This window comes from Homo sapiens, chromosome X (genome assembly GCF_000001405.40).
Source record: "Homo sapiens chromosome X, GRCh38.p14 Primary Assembly".
In the NCBI taxonomy this organism is placed as follows: domain Eukaryota; kingdom Metazoa; phylum Chordata; class Mammalia; order Primates; family Hominidae; genus Homo; species Homo sapiens.
In genome coordinates this window covers 123,380,080-123,399,494 of record NC_000023.11, presented here as the reverse complement: position 1 = coordinate 123,399,494, position 19,415 = coordinate 123,380,080, and the positions used below count along the sequence as shown (strand labels likewise).

Here is a 19,415-nt window from a genome sequence, read left to right as displayed (position 1 = left end):
TTGCTTGAAGCCTTAAATGATCTCCTACCCAGCAAATACTAAAAACAAGTGACCTATTTGACTGTCTATCCATTGATTCCTTTTACTTTTCTTTAGGCTTTTTCTTTGCAGCATTAGGCAAAAGCTTCTTAAGTAGACCTAGAAATGTATCATGTTCCTGCATTTCATCCTGTAGAATAGCATGAGTGTTCTTTTTGACAACAGAAATACTATCACACTGGCTAAGTTCCACAGCCTGTCTAGGCTAATCATTTGTCTGATGAGCCAGAGGATGCTGTCCTTTGTAATGTCTATCTTGAAGTTAGGAACATCTTATAAAATATTCTAATCTCCCTAAAGAATGTCATATGTTTGAAAGCTTTGAATTTTTTGAAGCTATTTATATATTCAATCTGTAACTTTTGAGAGTACTAAGTTTCATTTACTAGCCATAGTATAGTGCATAACCAAAAATTCATTTGCCCTAAATTTATCTCTTTTTTTTTCAAGCTTCAAGAAATGACCTCCAACTTTTAGATTTCTAGGTTTGGATGATTTATAGAAATGGCTATACTTATCCTCTTTGCATACTCTGAGATTCTACATAATCTGGTCCTATTCCTTTTAGTATGTCTTCTCTCAAGATCAAGGTCTCATCTTTTTTATGTCTTTATAAGTTTCTTCCACCCCAATAACCCATTGTGGTCTTTACCATTTTCAGAGCTCTCTCAATATCAATTCCTTGACTCCAGGGCACAGCAGGATTTGCTAAGCAGTCTCCAGCACTTCCTCTCCGGGACACATCTACTCGCTGCCTCCTCAGGTAGCGGAAAGCTTCTGCTATGACCAGTATTGCGTCGTGTGTCAATGCAGATGTATACTGAAATGGATGCATGAAAAACAAGATATCATGATAAATGATACCCTCAAAATTTGCCTTGTTTCTTATAATTTTCATTCATTTCTACCTATTGTTCTATGCAGTCACCCCCCTATTTATTTAAGAGATCTCTCTGGGCAAGCCTGAATTCGATTCATTCTACAGTGATAGTTCTTACCTCATGTGTGCATGTGTTACAATTATTACAATCAAATGGCTCAAGGCAATCTCTCTCTTGCTCTCAATACTGTTTCTTTTTTATACTGAGTTAGTGACTACCAAAAGGCTGTGTCCTTTATAGAGGAAGAAATATGTGTGAAGTTAAAGGATGGCATGTATAGACTGGAGAGGAAACAGCACATCCTAAAGCAAGACTGGGTTACTGCTGTTTGTAGAGATCTGGTGTTTACTTAGGGGAAAATGGAAATAGCTAAGTTAGACAGCTTGAAATTAATTTGGAGGAGAACATTAATCATTTCTGTCTGGACCATGTTTCTGGCGAGGTGGGACTTCTGGCCAGCAATAAATGAGTTTTTGTTTCCTGGGGGTAGCAAAAACCAAAGCTGTTTTTCAATTGTAGAAAATTTCAATTATTATTGAGTTTTAAATCTGATGATGTTGACAATTCATAGGCAATACTTCATGATGCCACCTCTTGCAGGCAAGAACACTTTCTATTCCTTGGATATATTGATATGCTCTACTAGGGATGAGGTCAGTCACTAAATACAAGGGATTTGATTATCTGCAATTTGAAATGGTGGATGCTTTTTCATTAAATGAATTAACATAACAAACTATGGTTAAAATAAGCTGGCCCCTGTTTTGCAGGGGTGACAAATACTGGTAGAATGTAGAATGTTGTTGACTTTTTAAAAATGTAGCAAAATGTCCCAGGGGGAGTTCTCTCTCTCTAGTACAGTATGTCCAAATACAATTGGGAGTGAATAGATTATTGCCTCTACAACTATCAATTAGCTTTTCTGACTTTTCTCACGTTACTTGTCTTTCAGAAGCAAATCATCAAGTGTGACTGTAACAGGGGACATATGTTCTTTCATGAAGAAAAATCTTTGTGTCTGCACATCTTTGCAATACATGAAGCCAACATGGTGATGATTTTTTCAGCTGACTGCATAAATTGTCAGCAATCTTAATGTAGTCCTTTCCAAACCATGCCAAAGGAGCTATTTAATTTTTGCTTTATTCAGTTTCTACTTACCAATGGGTGAGAATACCCTCCCAAGCCCTAAAAGAAAATGTTTATAGAGTAAATTATCAGGATTTTTAATCTGTAGACAATTTTATTTCCTAATCAAAAATATTATACATCAATTTTTAAAGTGGGCTTTTGGTTTGATTGATATTGTGCAAGGTTCTATAATGACCAATACTAAGCAAAAGTAATCTGTAAGTTGTAACATCTATTCAAATATTCAATTTTTTAAAGTTATTTAAAGGGTTTTACTTATAAGCATGAACATTTCTTCTCAGTGGGTTCTAGAACTTTACATTATACACACCAAGTGTTATCAATGAATAGTCCAGAGCTGAGATTGGCTTCCTTCTCTTTTGTATGGCTCTGCAACTTCAGCACAGGCATAAACTACTCTTCAGTACCCTTTTCATACTTCTTACCATTACTCATTTTCTCATGCCTAACACAGTGTCTGGCACATTGTAGGTGCCAGACTACTAACCCACTAAAATATTGAATAAATGAATTTCTCTCTTCTACCTATTACCTGGTAAATCTAAAGATCATAAAGCAGTGTGGGTAGGCAGTTTTATGAAAAATCTAAATTTGAATAAGCTCACCTAAATGTAATGCAATATGCATTTGAACCATGACTTTATGCTTTTGATATTTTTATCTTGATTTCTATGAAAATGGGCAACTTAGGTAATCTAATTATTTTCAAAAATACTTTAGCAAGCAGGAAAACATTTCCATTCAATATATGTGTAGGCAACATACACTCTGTATTAGAGCCTAATTCACTTGGGATTATTTTCCAGTAAATATCAGTTTAGTACATTAAAAATTTTTTTGATTACAAAGGATTCATCATAGGGATTGTGACCATATTTACTAAAGCAAATTAGGACACTTGATCGGACCCTAAAACAGAATGTTTTAAAATAAGACTATCTTGGAAAAATCTGGCAGGCATAATCGCTACAACCACAGGGTACCATTTAACTAGTAAGTGGCTTAACTGAACGAAAAAAGTATGTTTAACCCATAACTTTTCTAGAACACACCAATTGCATAAAGTAAGATTTCACTTGTATTATGTTCTGACGTAACCCATTTAAGGTGGAGCTGCATAGATGGTACAGAATGTATCTCTATATCTTTTTTCTGGTCTGTGTTGCCTACTGTTCTCCCTTATCATCATTATTATTATTATTATTATTATTATTATTATTATTTTGAGATGGAGTCCAGCCCAGGCTGGAGTGCAGTGGCATGATCTCGGCTCACTGCAACCTCTGCTGCACGGGTTCAAGCCATTCTCCTGCCTCCGCCACCCAAGTGTCTGGGATTACAGGCGCATGCTACCATGCCCGGCCTGTTATCCCCTATTCTATTCTTGCCAGGGAGGAAGGATGTGAGGATGAGTATCTTGAAACAATGAGGAAGATCTTTTCCCCTTTTCCTTTTCTAGGAAAGGGTCTTGACTCTATTTTGATCCCCTATTTCGTACCACAGCTATGGTACATACTTTCACTATATCAGGAAGAATTTAAAGTCAGTTTCATATTTGAATCAATGCACTGAGGGAACGATTTACTTAAAAATATATTTGAAGGGTCCTTTGTGTAGCATGAATAACTTTCCCCTAATTTATCTGTTTAATTCCTGGTTTTTAAATAATAGGATTTCTAGCCATAGGGGAACACATGAAAAATGTGCATTTTTAACCATGACTTTCTGCTTTTAATATTCTTATCTTGATTTTGTGAAAATGAGCAATCTAGGTAATTTAATTATTTTCTAAGATACTTTAGCAGGCAGGAAAACATTTCCATTCAATATACATATAGGCAATGTACACTCTTTATTAGACCCTAATTCACTTGGGTGTACTGAGATTCATGGAACTTATTAAAACAAAGCAATCACATAAATAATGTAAAATCTAATTTTCTGTTTCAGACTATCAGTCTTCCTTACCTGTTCCCACTGCCCCCACCCTTTGCCTGGCTCAGGTTCTTGTAATACTGTAAATTGTTATAGGCATATTACAAATAAAATTCATTAAAAATTAAGTTAACTTATTTCCAAGCACTGGATTTTAAAAGATCTCATTCTCAACAGCTTCTTTATTCAGGGGTTTAGTTTTCAAATGCAATAGCATCACCTGCAGTTGTTTTGTGGCATCTTTGAATCACTTCTGAGGAAAATCACTTGATCATAAGATGACTGTTAGTGTATAAAGATCATACTGAGATACTTTGAAAAGCTGGCCTTAGGTTTTTTACATGCCATGGAACATTACCTTTAGTGGTGCATTCTTGGCTTCAGGGAATTCCCTTTCATCCAGCCTCACCCAGCGCTGTATGAACTGCTGAACCATAGGGTTTTCATTGTTGACAATCTGGAAACCTGTAATGTTGGCTCCCCCATGCATGACTCTTTCCAGTAAAATATCAGTAAAACCCTGGAAAGACATTGAAAGGATCATGATTGTGGGAAGTTGTATGTTCTTACTCACCATATCTGTTAGAGTGCTAAGGATAATGTGAAAGCTCCTTCCCTAGGATCATTTATTAGCAATCAAGACAGCCTTGAATATGAAATTAATTGTTAGGGCACTATGTCCCTGAAACTGCAGGCATAATGGAGAAAATATGCATTCTTCCATTTTAGTTCATGTGTCTTTATGTAATGTGGCTGCCACATGGACAAACATAGGTGCCAACTTTAAGCAAATATTTTGATTTGTTTCATTTACCTGTATTTTTAGTCTTTCTTCATTGCGTACAAATACAATGCTTTATGTAATTGGAAAATGTTGAAAAAGTTTGACCCGATGGGTGTTATAGCAAACTTTTCTTCAGCCTAACATGATAAACACAGTGGATTGCTTCAGATTCTAGTGATGAGTACTTTAGAAATTTGTGATTTACAGAAATGCCAATGAGTGAAACTGACAGCTTGGTTGTATATGATGGTACAAATCCCAGGGTATCTGACATGTATCCATAAATGAATCTTTCTTTTTTTTTTGAGATAGAATCTCGCTCTGTTACCCAGGCTGGAGTGCAGAGTCTCGCTGTGTCGCCCAGGCTGGAGTGCAGTGGTGTGATCTCGGCTCACTGCAACCTCCACACCACCCCCCGGGTTCAAGCGATTCTCGTGCCTCAGCCTCCCAAGTAGCTGGGATTACAGGCGCATGCCACCATGCCCTCCCAAGTTTTGTATTTTTGGTAGAGATGGGGTTTCACCATGTTGGCCTGGCTGGTCTCGAACTCCTGACCTCAAGTGATCTGCCTGCCTCGGCCTCCCAAAGTGCTGGGATTACAGGCATGAGCCACTGCACCCAGACAATAAATGAATCTTAACAACTACTACATAGTATCCACCACTTTCTTCTAATTTGCTGTGGCTACCATCTGGTGCTTCTGCCACCTAAGCCTTGTGAAAGGAGTATCTCCATGTGAGCTCTGCCAGCTCCATTGGGCATTATTATCTTCTGGGACAAGTAGCAGCCTAGGAATTGCTGCTACTTTTGCTGGATAACTATATCCTGCTAATTACTATTAATGTGTTAGGGTCTTCAATGAGCTGAAGCCATCATTTCTATTCATAAACAGATGGGTAGAATTCTTCCTCCCTTCTTTAGAACCCTCCAACATTTTAATATAAAAATGATCAAACATACAGAAAAATAGAAAGAATTATACAGTGAATACCCACATAGTCACACTCAGATTCTACAATTATTTTTCTACTCATCTATCAAACCATTTCACTTTGGGGTTCATTTCAAAGTAAGTTGGAGACATTAGTATACTTCACCCTTAAAGATTTCAGCATGCAGGTCATTAACTAAAATTCAGTGTTTGTTTACAGTTCTTTTTCTTTCTTCATTTTTTGAGGTAAAATTTACATCAATGAAATGTACTTGATGAGTTTTGATAAATGCATACACCTTTATTACCCAAATCCATATCCATTCTTTAATGTTTCCTCTCTTTTTTAACAGTCTAAAAAAGGTTTTATTGAAGTGTAATAATTGTATAGAGAAGTGCACATATCTTTACGTGTATAGCTTGGTGAATTTATTCACAAACTAAACATAAACAATATCTGTAGAGTCAGCACCTCCATCCGTGCTTCTCTTAATTTTACATTTCTTTACCATGGATAACAAGACAGTCTTAGAAAACATTTTAGTGAAACAGCTTTTTCAGTTATTACTTACAGCCCCTTCCTCTTCTTTTCATAAGTGGGGTATGAGTCAATGAGACTGGACAAAGAGTCAAATAGTTTACATCACTGGGAATCACTCCTTCATTCTGATAACCACAAAGTATTTTAAAAATTAACATTAATTCATCATGATGAGTTTTCTCCCAAAGGCTTTCTTCATGAGGGAAAATAAGACTCAGTGTTTTCTCCCATTTTATTCCCCCTGTAATAAATTCAGCAGAGAGCCTCACTTGTGTAGAAAGTCTAGCAGAGGCTACCATTGGGGTTTAAGCCTAACTGTTACCCAACTCTCCATTCTCACTCCTTAAACTTATATTCAAATAAAATGCTGAGGATAAAACTCCAATGAAAGGGGCCTCAAGATGGCTGAATAGAGGCATCCAGAACTCACCTCCCATACAAAGAAGAAATAAAATAGTGAGTAGATAATCACACTTTGAATATATTTCCTAAGAGAGAATGCTGGAATTCAATAGAGAAGTGACAGGAAACATCTGACTCAAGGAATGAGAAAGAAGTAAGGTAGCCTGCTTGGCTGGGATCATCTGGAAGCCTGAAGAGGTGCCCCAGCATGGGTAAAGGACAAGTGAGAGACCCCTAGCAGTCCATATTCTCAATGTGGACTCCTGCAATCCTAGCCCTGGGAGAGCCCTCAACCCACATGGGCTTTGAAGGAGTTGCCTAGAGATTGTATAATGGCATTTCTCTAGAGAGGGAGCTTGAGTGGTTCCTGCATACCCCAGAGTCCTAAGCAGCCACAGCAGGGTGCCATTTTGAGAGCCCAGCCCCCATCAGACTACATCCTGACCAGGGGCCCAACAGCCCCTGCATTTCCACATCCTTGGAACCCCATCAATGGGGTTGAATACCTTGAATGCAGGGCTGGGCTTTATTGTTGGCTGCTGCTGCCAGGGCGAAACACGAGTCATTGGCAGTGACCCTGTCACTCCTAGTAGCAGTGCTGCTACATATTTAAAAGAGCCCTGAGGAAAGGCTCCCCTGCTTATATCAGGGCCAAAGCACATGCTCCCAAGCTACCTGTTTATGGCTGCTGCCACTGAAAGCAACCATGCCTTCTCCAGCAGTAGGGCTGCAGCACAGCCACTTCAGCCCCAACCTGAGCATTCTACTGGGGATCTAGGGATCACCTCGCCCCTGCCTACCACAGCCAGCACCCACGTGCACCACCAGATGGCCTGGCTCTACTCCCCTCAATTCCCAGTGCCTGAGTAAACTGTCCAGGGGCCTGGAGATTGCTCTGCCCCATTCACCACCGTTGGAACTTAGCACTCCTCCTGGGAACCTGAGGACAGGCTGACTTAGCTTGTCACTACCACCATGGCTGGGACTCACCTGCATGTGCTACCTACAGGCCTCAAGAATGGCTGGCCTAGCCTATTGCAGCCACCATCATCACCAGGACAAAGCACTTGGGAGTCAGAGGATTGTGTTGCCTCTGCTACAACCATTGCCTATGCTATGCCCAATTGCTAGGGCTCCAAGGACCCACCCACCCATCCGGCCCACCACTGCCGCTGCTGGCATCTGAGCAAGCTGCCTGGAGGGCCCAAGAATCAGCCTGACTAGACCCACTAACACTGGTGCCCATGTACACTTCCCTGAGGCCCATGGACAGGTATGTTTGACCTGTTGCTACTACCACTGGTGCCCAAGAACTGGCCCATCTGATGTCCCCATCCCCAGAAAAACTTCACCACAGCCTCCACCAACAACTGCACCTTATACCACCAAGGAAATCACAAATACTACTGATGCTGTTTACAGCCAGATAAATCATCATGGAGACTATATTATTGCACATACCGAGAATCAAAGCCAAAGTGTCCTACCCAACCAACACCATAGGTAAATCTTCAGGAAAAAGTCCTCCCCTACAAAAGCAAATTTAAAATATTAGAAGAAGTAACTGTTACATCAAATGTGCAGATATCAATGCAAGGACACAAAAAGTACGAAAAAGTAAAAAAAATACATTGCCTCCAAAGGAACACAATACTTCTCCAGCAATAGATCCCAATCAAAAAGAAATTTATGAAATCCCAGAAAAATTCACAATAATGATACTAAAGAAGTTTAGTGAGATACAAGAGAACACAGAAATCAGAACAACAATACAAATAAATCAGAAAAACAATGCAGGATATGAGTGAGAAATTTACCAAAGAGATAGCTAAAATAAAAAGAAAAACACATAGAAATTCTAAAGCTGAATAATTCATTGAATGAAATATAAAATACATTTGAAAGATTCAACACTAGACTAGATCAAGCAGAAGAAATAATTTTAGAAGTTGAAGACAAGTCATTGAAATAACCCAGTCAGACAAAAATGAAAAAATACTAAAAAAGAATAAACAAAGTCTATGACATATAGGACACTGTAAAGTGATCCAATAATGTGAATTTTTAGTGTCCCAGAAGGTGAAGAGAAAATGAAAGTGATAAAAAACCTATTTAACAAAATAATAGCTGAAAACTTTCCAGATGTAGCAAAAGATTTAGACATACAAATACAGGAAGCTCAGAGATCCCTAAATCTTTATAAAGGTCTTCTCCATGGCACATTGTAGTCAAACTGTCAAAAGTCAAAGATAATTCTAAAAATAGCAAGAGAAAAGCATCTAGTCACTTAGTCTGATGGGAGTTCCCATTAGACTGACAGTGAATTTCTCAGCAGAAATGTTATAGGCCAGGAGAGAATGGGCTGCTAAACTCAAAGTTCTGAAAAAACAAAACAAAACAAAACAAAACAAAAAAACACCTGGCAACCAAGGATACTATACTGAAGAAAGTTGCCTTTCATAAATGAAGGAGAAATAACAAAAGCTGAAATAATTAATAGCTGCTAGACTAGCCATATAAAAAATGCTTAAGGGAGTCTTACACCTGGAAGAAAAAGGAGAGTATATACCATAATGAAAATACATGAAAGTATAAAACCCACTGATAGAGCAAACACACAAATGAGGAAGAGAAGGGACTCAAATGTTTCCACTACAGAAAACCATCAAACCACAATGATAAGCAGTAAGAGAGGAAGAAAGAAGCAAAGTATATGCAAAATAAGCAGAAATCAATTAATAAAATGACAGAAATGAGCCTTCAAATATTAATAATAACTTTGAATATAAATAGATTAAACTTTCTACTTAAAAGATATAGACTGGGCCAGGCGCGGTGGCTCATGCCTGTAATCCCAGCACTTTGGGAGGCCAAGGCAGGAGGATCACGAGGTCAGGAGATCGAGACCATCCTGGCTAACATGGTGAAACTTCGTCTCTACTAAAAATACAAAAAAATTAGCCGGGCGTGGTGGCGGGTGTCTGTAGTCCCAGCTACTTGGGAGGCTGAGCCAGGAGAATGGCGAACCCAGGAGGTGGAGCTTGCAGTGAGCTGAGTTCGCACTACTGCACTCCAGCCTGGGCAACAGAGCGAGACTTTGTTTCAATAAAACAACAACAACAACAACAACAACAACAACAAAAACAAAAGAAAAATATAGACTGGCTGAATGGATTTAAAAAATGATCCAGCTATATGCTGCCTACAAGAAACTCACCTCAGATGTAAATGTACATATAGGGTCAAAGTAAAGGGATGGAAAAAGACATTCTGTGCAAACAAAAATTTAAAGCAAGCAGGAGTAGCTATACTTATGTCAGAAAAAAACAGACTTAAGTCAAAAACAGTGAAAGGAGACAAAGAAGGTCATTACATAATGATAAAGGGATTAATCTAATAGTACTATATAGCAATTCTAAACATATATGCTTCTGACACCAAAGCACCAAGACAAATACTATTACAACTAAACAGAGAGATAGACTCCAGTACGAAAATAGGTGAGAACTTGAACACCCTACTGTCAGTATTAGACAGATGATCTAGAGGGAAGATTAACAAAGAAACACTGAATTTAAACTTCACTTGAGACCAAATGTACATAACAGAGATTTATAGAACATTTCATCCAACAGCTATAGAATACACATTCTTCTCATCAGCACATGGAACATTCTCCAGGATAGATTATACATTAGGATACAAAACAAGTCTCAAAAAAATTTAGAATATCAAAATCATATCAAATATCTTCTCAGGCCACAAAGGAGTTTAATTAGAAATCAATAACAAGAGGAACTTTGGAAACTATACAAATACCTGGAAATTAAACAACATGCTCCCGAATGACCATTGGGTCAAAGAAGAAATTAAGGAGGAAATTTAAAAAATTCTTGACACAAATGAAATTGAAACAAAACATACCAAAATCTGTGGGAAACAGAAAAAGCAATGTTAAGAGGGAAGTTTATAGAAATAACTGCCAATATCAAAAAAGTAGAAGGATGTCAAATAAACAATCTAATGATGCACCTCAAAGAACTAGAAAAGCAAGAGCAAACCAAAGCCCAAATTAGTAGAAGGAAAGCAATAATGAAGATCAGAGCAGAACTAAATGAAACAGACTAAAGAAAAACACAAAAGAACAACAAAATAAATTTTTTCAAAAGATAAAATCAATAAACCACTAGCTAGATGAACCAAAAAAGAGAGAAAATCTAAATAAATAAAATCAGAAATAAGAAAGGAGACATTACAATTGATACCACAGAAATATGAAAAATCGGCCTGGCACGGTGGCTCATTCCTGTAATCCCACACTTTGGGAGGCCAAGGCGGGTGGACCATTTGAGGTCAGGAGTTCAAGACCAGCCAGGGCAACATGGTGAAACTCTTGTCTCTATTGAAAATACAAAAATTAGCTGGGTGTGGTGGCACACACCTATAATCCCATCTACTCGGGAGGCTGAGGCAGGATAATTGCTTGAACCCAGGAAACAGAGGTTGCAGTGAGCCAAGAGTGAACCACTGTACTCCAGCCTGGGTGACAGAGTGAGGCCCTGTCTCAAAAAAGAAAAAAATGAAAGATCATCAGAGACTGTTATGAACAACTGGATGATAACAAACTGGAAAACCTTGAGAAAATGGATAAATTCCTGGAGGCATGCAACCTACCAAAATTTAATCAGGAAGAAATTGAAAACCTAAACAGACCAATAATGAGTAATGAGATTGAATCAGTAATAAAAAGTATTTCAACAAATAAAAGTCTAGGACTGAATGCTTCACTGCTGAATTCTACCAAACTCACAAAGAAGAACTAATACCAATTCTCCTCAAACTATTCCAAAAATATCAAGGGGAGGGAATTCTCCCTAACTCATTCTATGATGCCAGCATTACTCTGACAGCAAAACCAGACAAGGATGCAACAACAACAAAAAACTACAGGCAAATATCCATGATGAACATAGATGCAAAAGTCCTCAACAAAATACTAGCAATCTGTATCCTACAATCTATCCAAAAGATACACCATGATCAAGTGGGATTTATCCCAGGGATGCAAGAATGGTTCAACATATGCAAATCAATAAATGTAATACATTGCATCAACAGAATGAACACCAAATCTGTATGATCATCTCAATAGACGCAGAAAAATCACTGGGTAAAAGTCAGCATCCCTTCATAATAAAAACTCTCAACAAACTAGGCATAGAAGGATTGTACCTCGACATAATGAAGGCTATGTATGACAAACCCACAGCTGAAATCAGACTGAATGGGAAAATGCTGAAAACCTTTCCTCTGAGAAATGGAACAAGACAAGGATGCACACTTTCATCACTCCTATTCAATGTATTACTGGAAGTCGTACCCAGAGCAACCAAGTAGGAAAAAGAAAGGTCCATACTGGAAAGGGGGAAGTCAAATTGTCCTTCTTTGCATATGTCATGAGCTTATATCAAGACAAACCTAAAGACTCCACCAAGAAATTCTTAGATCTGATCATTAAATACAGTAAAATTGCAGGATATAAAATCAACGTACAGAAATCAGTAGTGTTTTTATGCACCAATATTGATCTAGCTGAGAGAGAAATCAAGAAGGCAATCCCATTTACAGTAGCTACTGAAATATCTAGGAATAAACTTAACCAAGGAGGTGAAAGACCTTTACAAGGAAATCTCTGATGAAAGGTATTGAAGAGGACACAAATGGAAAGACACCCCACGCTCATGGATTGAAAGAATTAATATTGTTAAAATGACCATACTACTCAAAACAATCTACAGATTTCATGCAATTCCTGTCAAAATACCAATGTCATATTTCACAGAAAATAGAAAAAAAAATCCTAAAATTCACTTGGAATGAATAAAGAGTCCAAGTAGCCAAAGCAACCCTGAGCAAAAAGAACAAAGCTGGAGGCATCATACTACCTGACTTCAAGATGTGTCACCAGGCTATAGTAATCAAAATGACACAGTATTCATATAAAGGCAGACACATAGATGAATGGGACAGAATAGTGAACCCAGAAATAAATCCACATATTTACAGCCAACTTATTTTCAAAAAAATTTCTAAGGACATACACTGGGGAAAGGGCACCCTCTTCAATAAATGGTGCTGGGAAAATTAGATATCCATATTCGGAAGGATGAAACTGGACTCCTATTTTTCATCATATACAAAAATGAACTCCAGATGGATTGAAGACCTAAACATAAGACTCGAAACTATAAACCTACTAGAAGAAAACATAGGGGAAGCACTTCAGGACATTAGTGTAGGCAAAGATTTTATGGCTAAGACTTCAAAAGCACAGGCAACAAAAACAAAAACAGACAAGTGAGACTATATTAAACCAAAAAGCTTCTGCACAGTAAAGGAAACAATCAACAGAGTGAAGAGACAACCTGTTGAATGGCAGAAAATATTTGTAAACTATTCATCCAACAAGGGACTAATATCCAGAATATACAAGGAACTCAAACAACTCAATAAAAAACAAAAACAAAAACAAAAACAAATAATCCCGTTAAAAAGTGGGCAAAGAACATGAATAGAAATTTCTTAAAATAAGACATACAGATTGCCAATAGGTGTATGAAAAAATGCTCAACATCACTAATCAAATGGGAAATACAAATTAAAACCACACAAAAAATCTTACCTTGGTTAGAATGGCTACTATTAAAAAGACAAAAACAAACAAAAACAACAACAACCAGATGCTGGCAAGGATGAGGAGAAAAGGGAACTCATGTACACTGTTGTGAATGTAAATTAGTATAGCCACTATGGAAAACAGTGTGAAGATTTATGAAAAAACTAAAAATAGAACTACCATATGATCCAGCAATCCCACTACTGAGTATTTATCCACAGGAAAAGAAATCAGTATATCTAAGGAATACCTGCACTCCTATGTATATTGCAGCACTATTAACAATAACAAAGATATGGAATCAACCTAAGTGTGTTCATCAATGAACAAGTGGATAAAGAAAATATATAACCAACAACAGCCAAGCCAAGAACCAAATCAGGAATGCAATCCCATTGACAATAGGCAGAGAAAGAATAAAATACCTAGGAATACAGCCAACCAGGAAGGTGAAAGATCTGTACAATGAGAATTACAAAACACTGCTCAAAGAAATCAGAGATGACACAAACAAATGGAAAAACATCCCATGCTCATGGTTAGGAAGAATCTATATCATTAAAATGGCCATAATGCCCAAAGCAATTTATAGATTCAATGCTATTCCCATCAAACTGCAAATGACATTCTTCACAGAACTAGATAAAAATTATTTTAAAATTCCTATGGAACCAAAAAAGGAGCCCAAATAGCCAAGGCAATCCTAAGCAAAAAGAACAAAGCTGGAGGTATCACACTACTCAACTTCAAACTATACTACAGGGATACCGTAACCAAAACGGCATGATATTAGTACATAGACTAATGGAGCAGAATAGGTTACCCAGAAATAAGGTTGCACACCTACAACCATCTGATCTTCAGCAAAACTGACAAAAACAAGCAATGGTGAAAGGATACCCTATTCAATAAGTGGTGCTAGGAGAAGTGGCTAGCCATGTGCAGAAGATTGAAATGGGACCCCTTCCTTTCACCATATACAAAAATCAACTCAAGATGGATTAAGGACTTAAATGTAAAACCCAAAACTATAAAAACCCTGGAAGACAACCTAGGTAATACCATTTAGGACATAGGAAAAGGCAAAGATTTCATGAGGAAGATGCCAAAAGCAATCCCAACGAAAGCAAAAATTGACAAATGGGACCTAATTAAACTAAAGAGCTTCTGCACAGCAAAGGAAACTATCAACAGAGTAAACAGACAACCTACAGAATGGGAGAAACTATTTGCAAACTATACATCTGACAAAGGTCTAATATCCAGCATCTATATGCAATTAAAACAAATTTACACAAAAAACTCAAACAACCCCATTGAAAAATTGACAAAGGACACGAACAGACACCTTTCAAAAGAAAACAAGTGTGTGGCCAACAAGCACATGAAAAAAAGCTCAGCATTGCTGATCATTAGAGAAATGCATCAAAACCACAGTGAGATACCATCTCACACCAGTCAGAATGGCTATTAAAAAGTCAAAAATAACAGATGCTGACAAGATTGCAGAGAAAAGAGAACACTTTTTTTTTTCAGAGTCTCACTCTGTTGCCCAGGCTGGAGTGCAATGGCATGATCTCGGCTTACTGCAACCTCCGCTGCCCGGGTTCAAGTGATTCCCCTGCCTTAGCCACCCAAGTAGCTGGGATTACAGGCGTGTGTCACCACGCCCGGCTAATTTTTGTATTTTTAGTAGAGACGGGGTTTCACCATGTTGGCCAGGCTGGTCTCGAACTCCCGACCTCAGGTGATCCACCCGCCTTGGTCTCCCAAAGTGCTGGGAATACAGGCGTTAGCCACCACGCCTGGCCGAAAAGGGAACACTTTATACATTGTTGGTGGAAGTGTAAATTAGTTCAACCATTGTGGAAAGCAGTATGGAAATTTCTCAGACTTAAAAACAGAACTACCATTAGACCCAGCAATCCAATTACTGGGTATATATCCAGAGGAATATAAATCGTTGCATTATAAACACATATGCACGTGAATGTTCATTGCAGCACTACACAATAGCAAAGACATGGAATCAACCTAAAGGCCCATCAATGATAGACTGGATAAAAAAAATGTGCTACATATACACCATGGAATACTATGCAGTGATAACATGAAGATTATGTCTTTTGCAGGAATATGGATGGAGCTGGAGGCCGTTATCCTTAGCCAACTAACACAGGAACAGAAAACCAAATACTGCATGTTTTCACTTATAAGTGGGAGAGAAATGATGAGAACACAAGGACACATAGAGTAGAACTACAGACACTGGGGCCTATTGGAGGGTGGAGGCTGAGAGGAGGGAGAGGATCAGAAAAAATAACTATTGGGTCCTAGGCTTAGTACCTGGGTGACAAAATAATTTACAAAACAAACTCCTGTGATACAAGTTTACCTATATAACAAACCTGCACATGTACCCTTGAACCAAAAATAAAAGTTGAAAAAAAAGATTAAAAAAAACTTAAAAAGTTTAATGGCCTTCAAAAAATGTGGTATATACACACAATGGACAACTATTTGGCCATAAACAAGAATGAAATCATGTCATTTGCAGCAACGTGGATGGAACTGGAGGTCATTATGTTAAGTGAAATAAGCCATGCTCAGAAAGACAAATATTGTATATTTTCACTCATATCTGGGAGCTAAAAATTTTGATCTCACGGAAGTAGAGAGTAGAATGATAGTTAGTAGGGGCTGGGAAGGGTGAGAGAGGGGGCAGGATGAAGAGAGGCTGGTTAATGAGTATAAACATACAGTTAGATAGAAGGGAAAAGTTCTCTTGTTCAATAGCAGAGTAGGGTAATTATAGTTAACAACAATGTATTGTGTATTTCATGGTAGCCAGAAGAGGGGTCTTGAAATGTTCCGAACACACAGAAATGATAAATACTCAAGGTGTTGGATATCCTAAATTCACTGATTTGATCATTACAATTCTATGCATGTGACAATATATCACATATACCCTACAGATATGTACAAATATGTATCATTTAAAATCTTTAATGAATAGCTTTAATTCATTTACCATGCCTAACCACATTTGGCAGTTAACAAATATTACATAAGAAAATTGACCAACTGCCCATTGACCTGCTGTTGTGGGTGAAGGATGGGATCTCTTGTGCTTGGCCTGTATCTTAAAAGCCTGGGCTGGAAAAGTAGAGCCATCTTTCTTGAGAGAAAGGGGTTGTGAATGCTTCTGCCACCATTACAGTCCTCAGGGTCAATAGGCACAGCATGCACTAGAAAGCAGTATCTCTCACTTTGATAAGCTTCATACTCCTGTTTACCTAATATTCATAGCATGTTAAAATGGCAATGTAGAATTAGCAAAAGCGAGGGAGAAAGGGTCCCCCAAATCTCACTTTCTGCCTTAAGGCCTAAGAGCCAGCAATTCAGTCTGGTTATTGTCTACTGTACCACTCTTTTCTTGAAGATTTGCCTAATTACCCTTTTTCTGGCAGAGAAACTAAAAGGAGATGTCCACCTCAAATACACCTCAAAAATTACCACCCCTTGCTCCCAGGAAGCTTCATCCTGCCGCATACACCCCACAAATTCCCACCTGGGTGTCTTGATCTCCAATAAACACATTGTGATTTGGAAACACCTTTATAGGAATACAGTGCACTTATCTCTATACCCAACCTCAACCATATCACTGAGGAACTAGAAGTCTCTCAGTCGACTAATGTTTTTTGACAGACATCCCGGGAATGAGTTCTGGCACACTGCAAATTGGCATTAGCCTGGCTGTGCTCATGGGATAAAATGTGTCCACAGCAGCACAGATTAAACCAGGGGGAGGTCATCACAACCTGCTTTTTTTTTAGCTGGCAAGACCTCCACACCACTAGCTCCTACTGAGGGCCATTACAGCTTACCAGGCCATATGGACAGAAAGCACTAACAGCCCCTTTGGCAAGGTGAAGAGAGCAGAAGTGAGGTGAAAAAAGAAAGAAGGTAACAGGTGTTTAGGGAGATGAAAGGAAAGATCTTGTTACTAAAGGGCAAGAGTTAACTGGATCCTGGTCCTACTTCTCCCTCTGTCCCATTTGTGTACATTTTGCTTGTTATCTTTCTTCAGATTCTATGACTTGTTTGTCACTCTGGTTCCCAGCATTTAGATAGAGCAACCAATAGTCCTCAAGGTTGAGATGATCAAGGCTGGATTTTTCCCTAAACCTTCTGAAGAAACACTAATGCAGCAGAACTGATTAATAAGTATCAAAGAAGTAGAAGAGGAAAAGAGAAGGGAAATGAGTAATAGACAGGTGGATATAAGGAAAATTGTCAAGCTAAAGACAGGAGTTTGTTGACTCTTCGTCATCTTTCTTTTTCTGATACCTTTTTTATTATAAAGACTTTTCCTTTTGTATCAACTATTGCTAAATTCCACTCTTTAAGTGACCACTGACAGTCCATGATATTGCAAAAATTAAAGACTGATTCTCTCCACAGCCTCTTCAGAGACACTAACACAGCAGAGCTGATATTCAACAGTAAGAGGGGAAAGGAGAAAAGGTAGAGAGGGATGATGGAAATTAGGAGAGAGGTACTGTACAAGGGCAGGATTTGTTTGGCTTCTAGGTCTCTTTCACTTCTTATCCTAACATTTTAAGACATTACTCCTTTCCATAATAATCTTTGATGAATTTTTATGGTTATGACACTTATAACCCTAAGGCAGGCCAATGGTCCCCCCAAACCAATGTAAAGATACTCACACAGCACAGGTGATGATATAATATCCAGAAATAAAAATGGAGTAAATAAAAAGGTAAGGGTCAGTGGTAGGAAGATGGAGGTTAGGAGAGATGTGTGGGCTAAGGTAGAGGAGCTGGCTGGCTTCTTGTCTTCCTTCTCCTAGTACAGAATGTCATTGTTTTAAGGCATTTTACTGACCCCATAACCTCTTGTTAGATTTTCTCCTTAGGCTGTTGGATCACAGTTTTCAAGGAGATAAAACTGAAGCTGAGTTTCTTAAAACCTCCCTAAAGACACTAACATAAAAGAGATGAGAATAAAATATATAGATAGATGGATGGAAGTTCAGAGAGAAGAGATGGCCAAGGAGGAAGACTTTGCTGGCTTCTCTCAACCTCTTACATCTATTTCATTTTTTAAAAACATGGAACTTTTTTTCTTCTAAAACAAGTTGCTACCCCTCAGAAATAATGCCACATATCCACAACTATCTGATCTTTGACAAACCTGACAAAAACAAGAAATGGGGAAAGATTCCCTATTTAATAAATGGTGCTGGGAAAACTGGCCAGCCGTATGTAGAAAGCTGAAACTGCATCCCTTCCTTACACCCTATACGAAAATTAATTCAAGATGGATTAAAGACTTAAATGTTAGACCTAAAACCATAAAAACCCTAGAAGAAAACCTAGGCAATACAATTCAGGACATAGGCATGGGCAAGGACTTCATGTCTAAAACACCAAAAGCAATGGCAATGAAAGCCAAAATTGACAAATGGGATCTAATTAAACTAAAGAGCTTCTGCACAGCAAAAGAAACTACCATCAGAGTGAACAGGCAACCTACAGAATGGGAGAAAATTTTTGCAATCTACTCGTCTGACAAAGGGCTAATATCCAGAATCTACAAAGAACTTAAACAAATTTACAAGAAAAAAACCAACAACCCCATCAAAAAGTGGGCGAAGGATATGAACAGTCCCTTCTCAAAAGAAGACATTTATGCAGCCAAAAGACACATGAAAAAAATGCTCATCATCACTGGCCATCAGAGAAATGCAAATCAAAACCACAATGAGATACCATCTCACACCAGTTAGAATGGTGATCATTAAAAAGTCGGGAAACAACAGGTGCTGGAGAGGATGTGGAGAAATAGGAACACTTTTACACTGTTGGTGGGACTGTAAACTAGTTCAACCATTGTGGAAGTCAGTGTGGCGATTCCTCAGGGATCTAGAACTAGAAATACCATTTGACCCAGCCATCCCATTACTGGGTATATACCCAAACGATTATAAATCGTGCTGCTATGAAGACACATGCACACATATGTTTATTGTGGCACTATTCACA

General features: G+C 38.2%; 1 protein-coding gene across 2 annotated transcripts in view, besides 1 other annotated feature; it reads right to left on the bottom strand.

Moving 5' to 3' along the window:
* Window positions 1-19,415, bottom strand: part of GRIA3 (glutamate ionotropic receptor AMPA type subunit 3) — a 306,638-nt gene that overhangs the window by 91,421 nt on the left and 195,802 nt on the right. For both annotated transcript variants that reach the window (NM_000828.5, NM_007325.5), the window contains exons 6-7: window positions 4,366-4,527; window positions 692-859 (exon numbers count right to left, since the gene is read on the bottom strand). In NM_000828.5, the coding sequence (NP_000819.4) occupies window positions 692-859; window positions 4,366-4,527 (330 nt within the window). The remainder of the gene's footprint in view (window positions 1-691; window positions 860-4,365; window positions 4,528-19,415) is intronic.
* Window positions 7,406-7,906: an enhancer, noted in NCBI's record as "H3K4me1 hESC enhancer chrX:122525440-122525940 (GRCh37/hg19 assembly coordinates)". NCBI's record gives its function as "activates a minimal SCP1, AML or CMV promoter by ChIP-STARR-seq in naive and primed H9 embryonic stem cells {active_cell/tissue: H9 hESC(naive and primed)}" and the evidence as "EXISTENCE:reporter gene assay evidence [ECO:0000049][PMID:30033119]".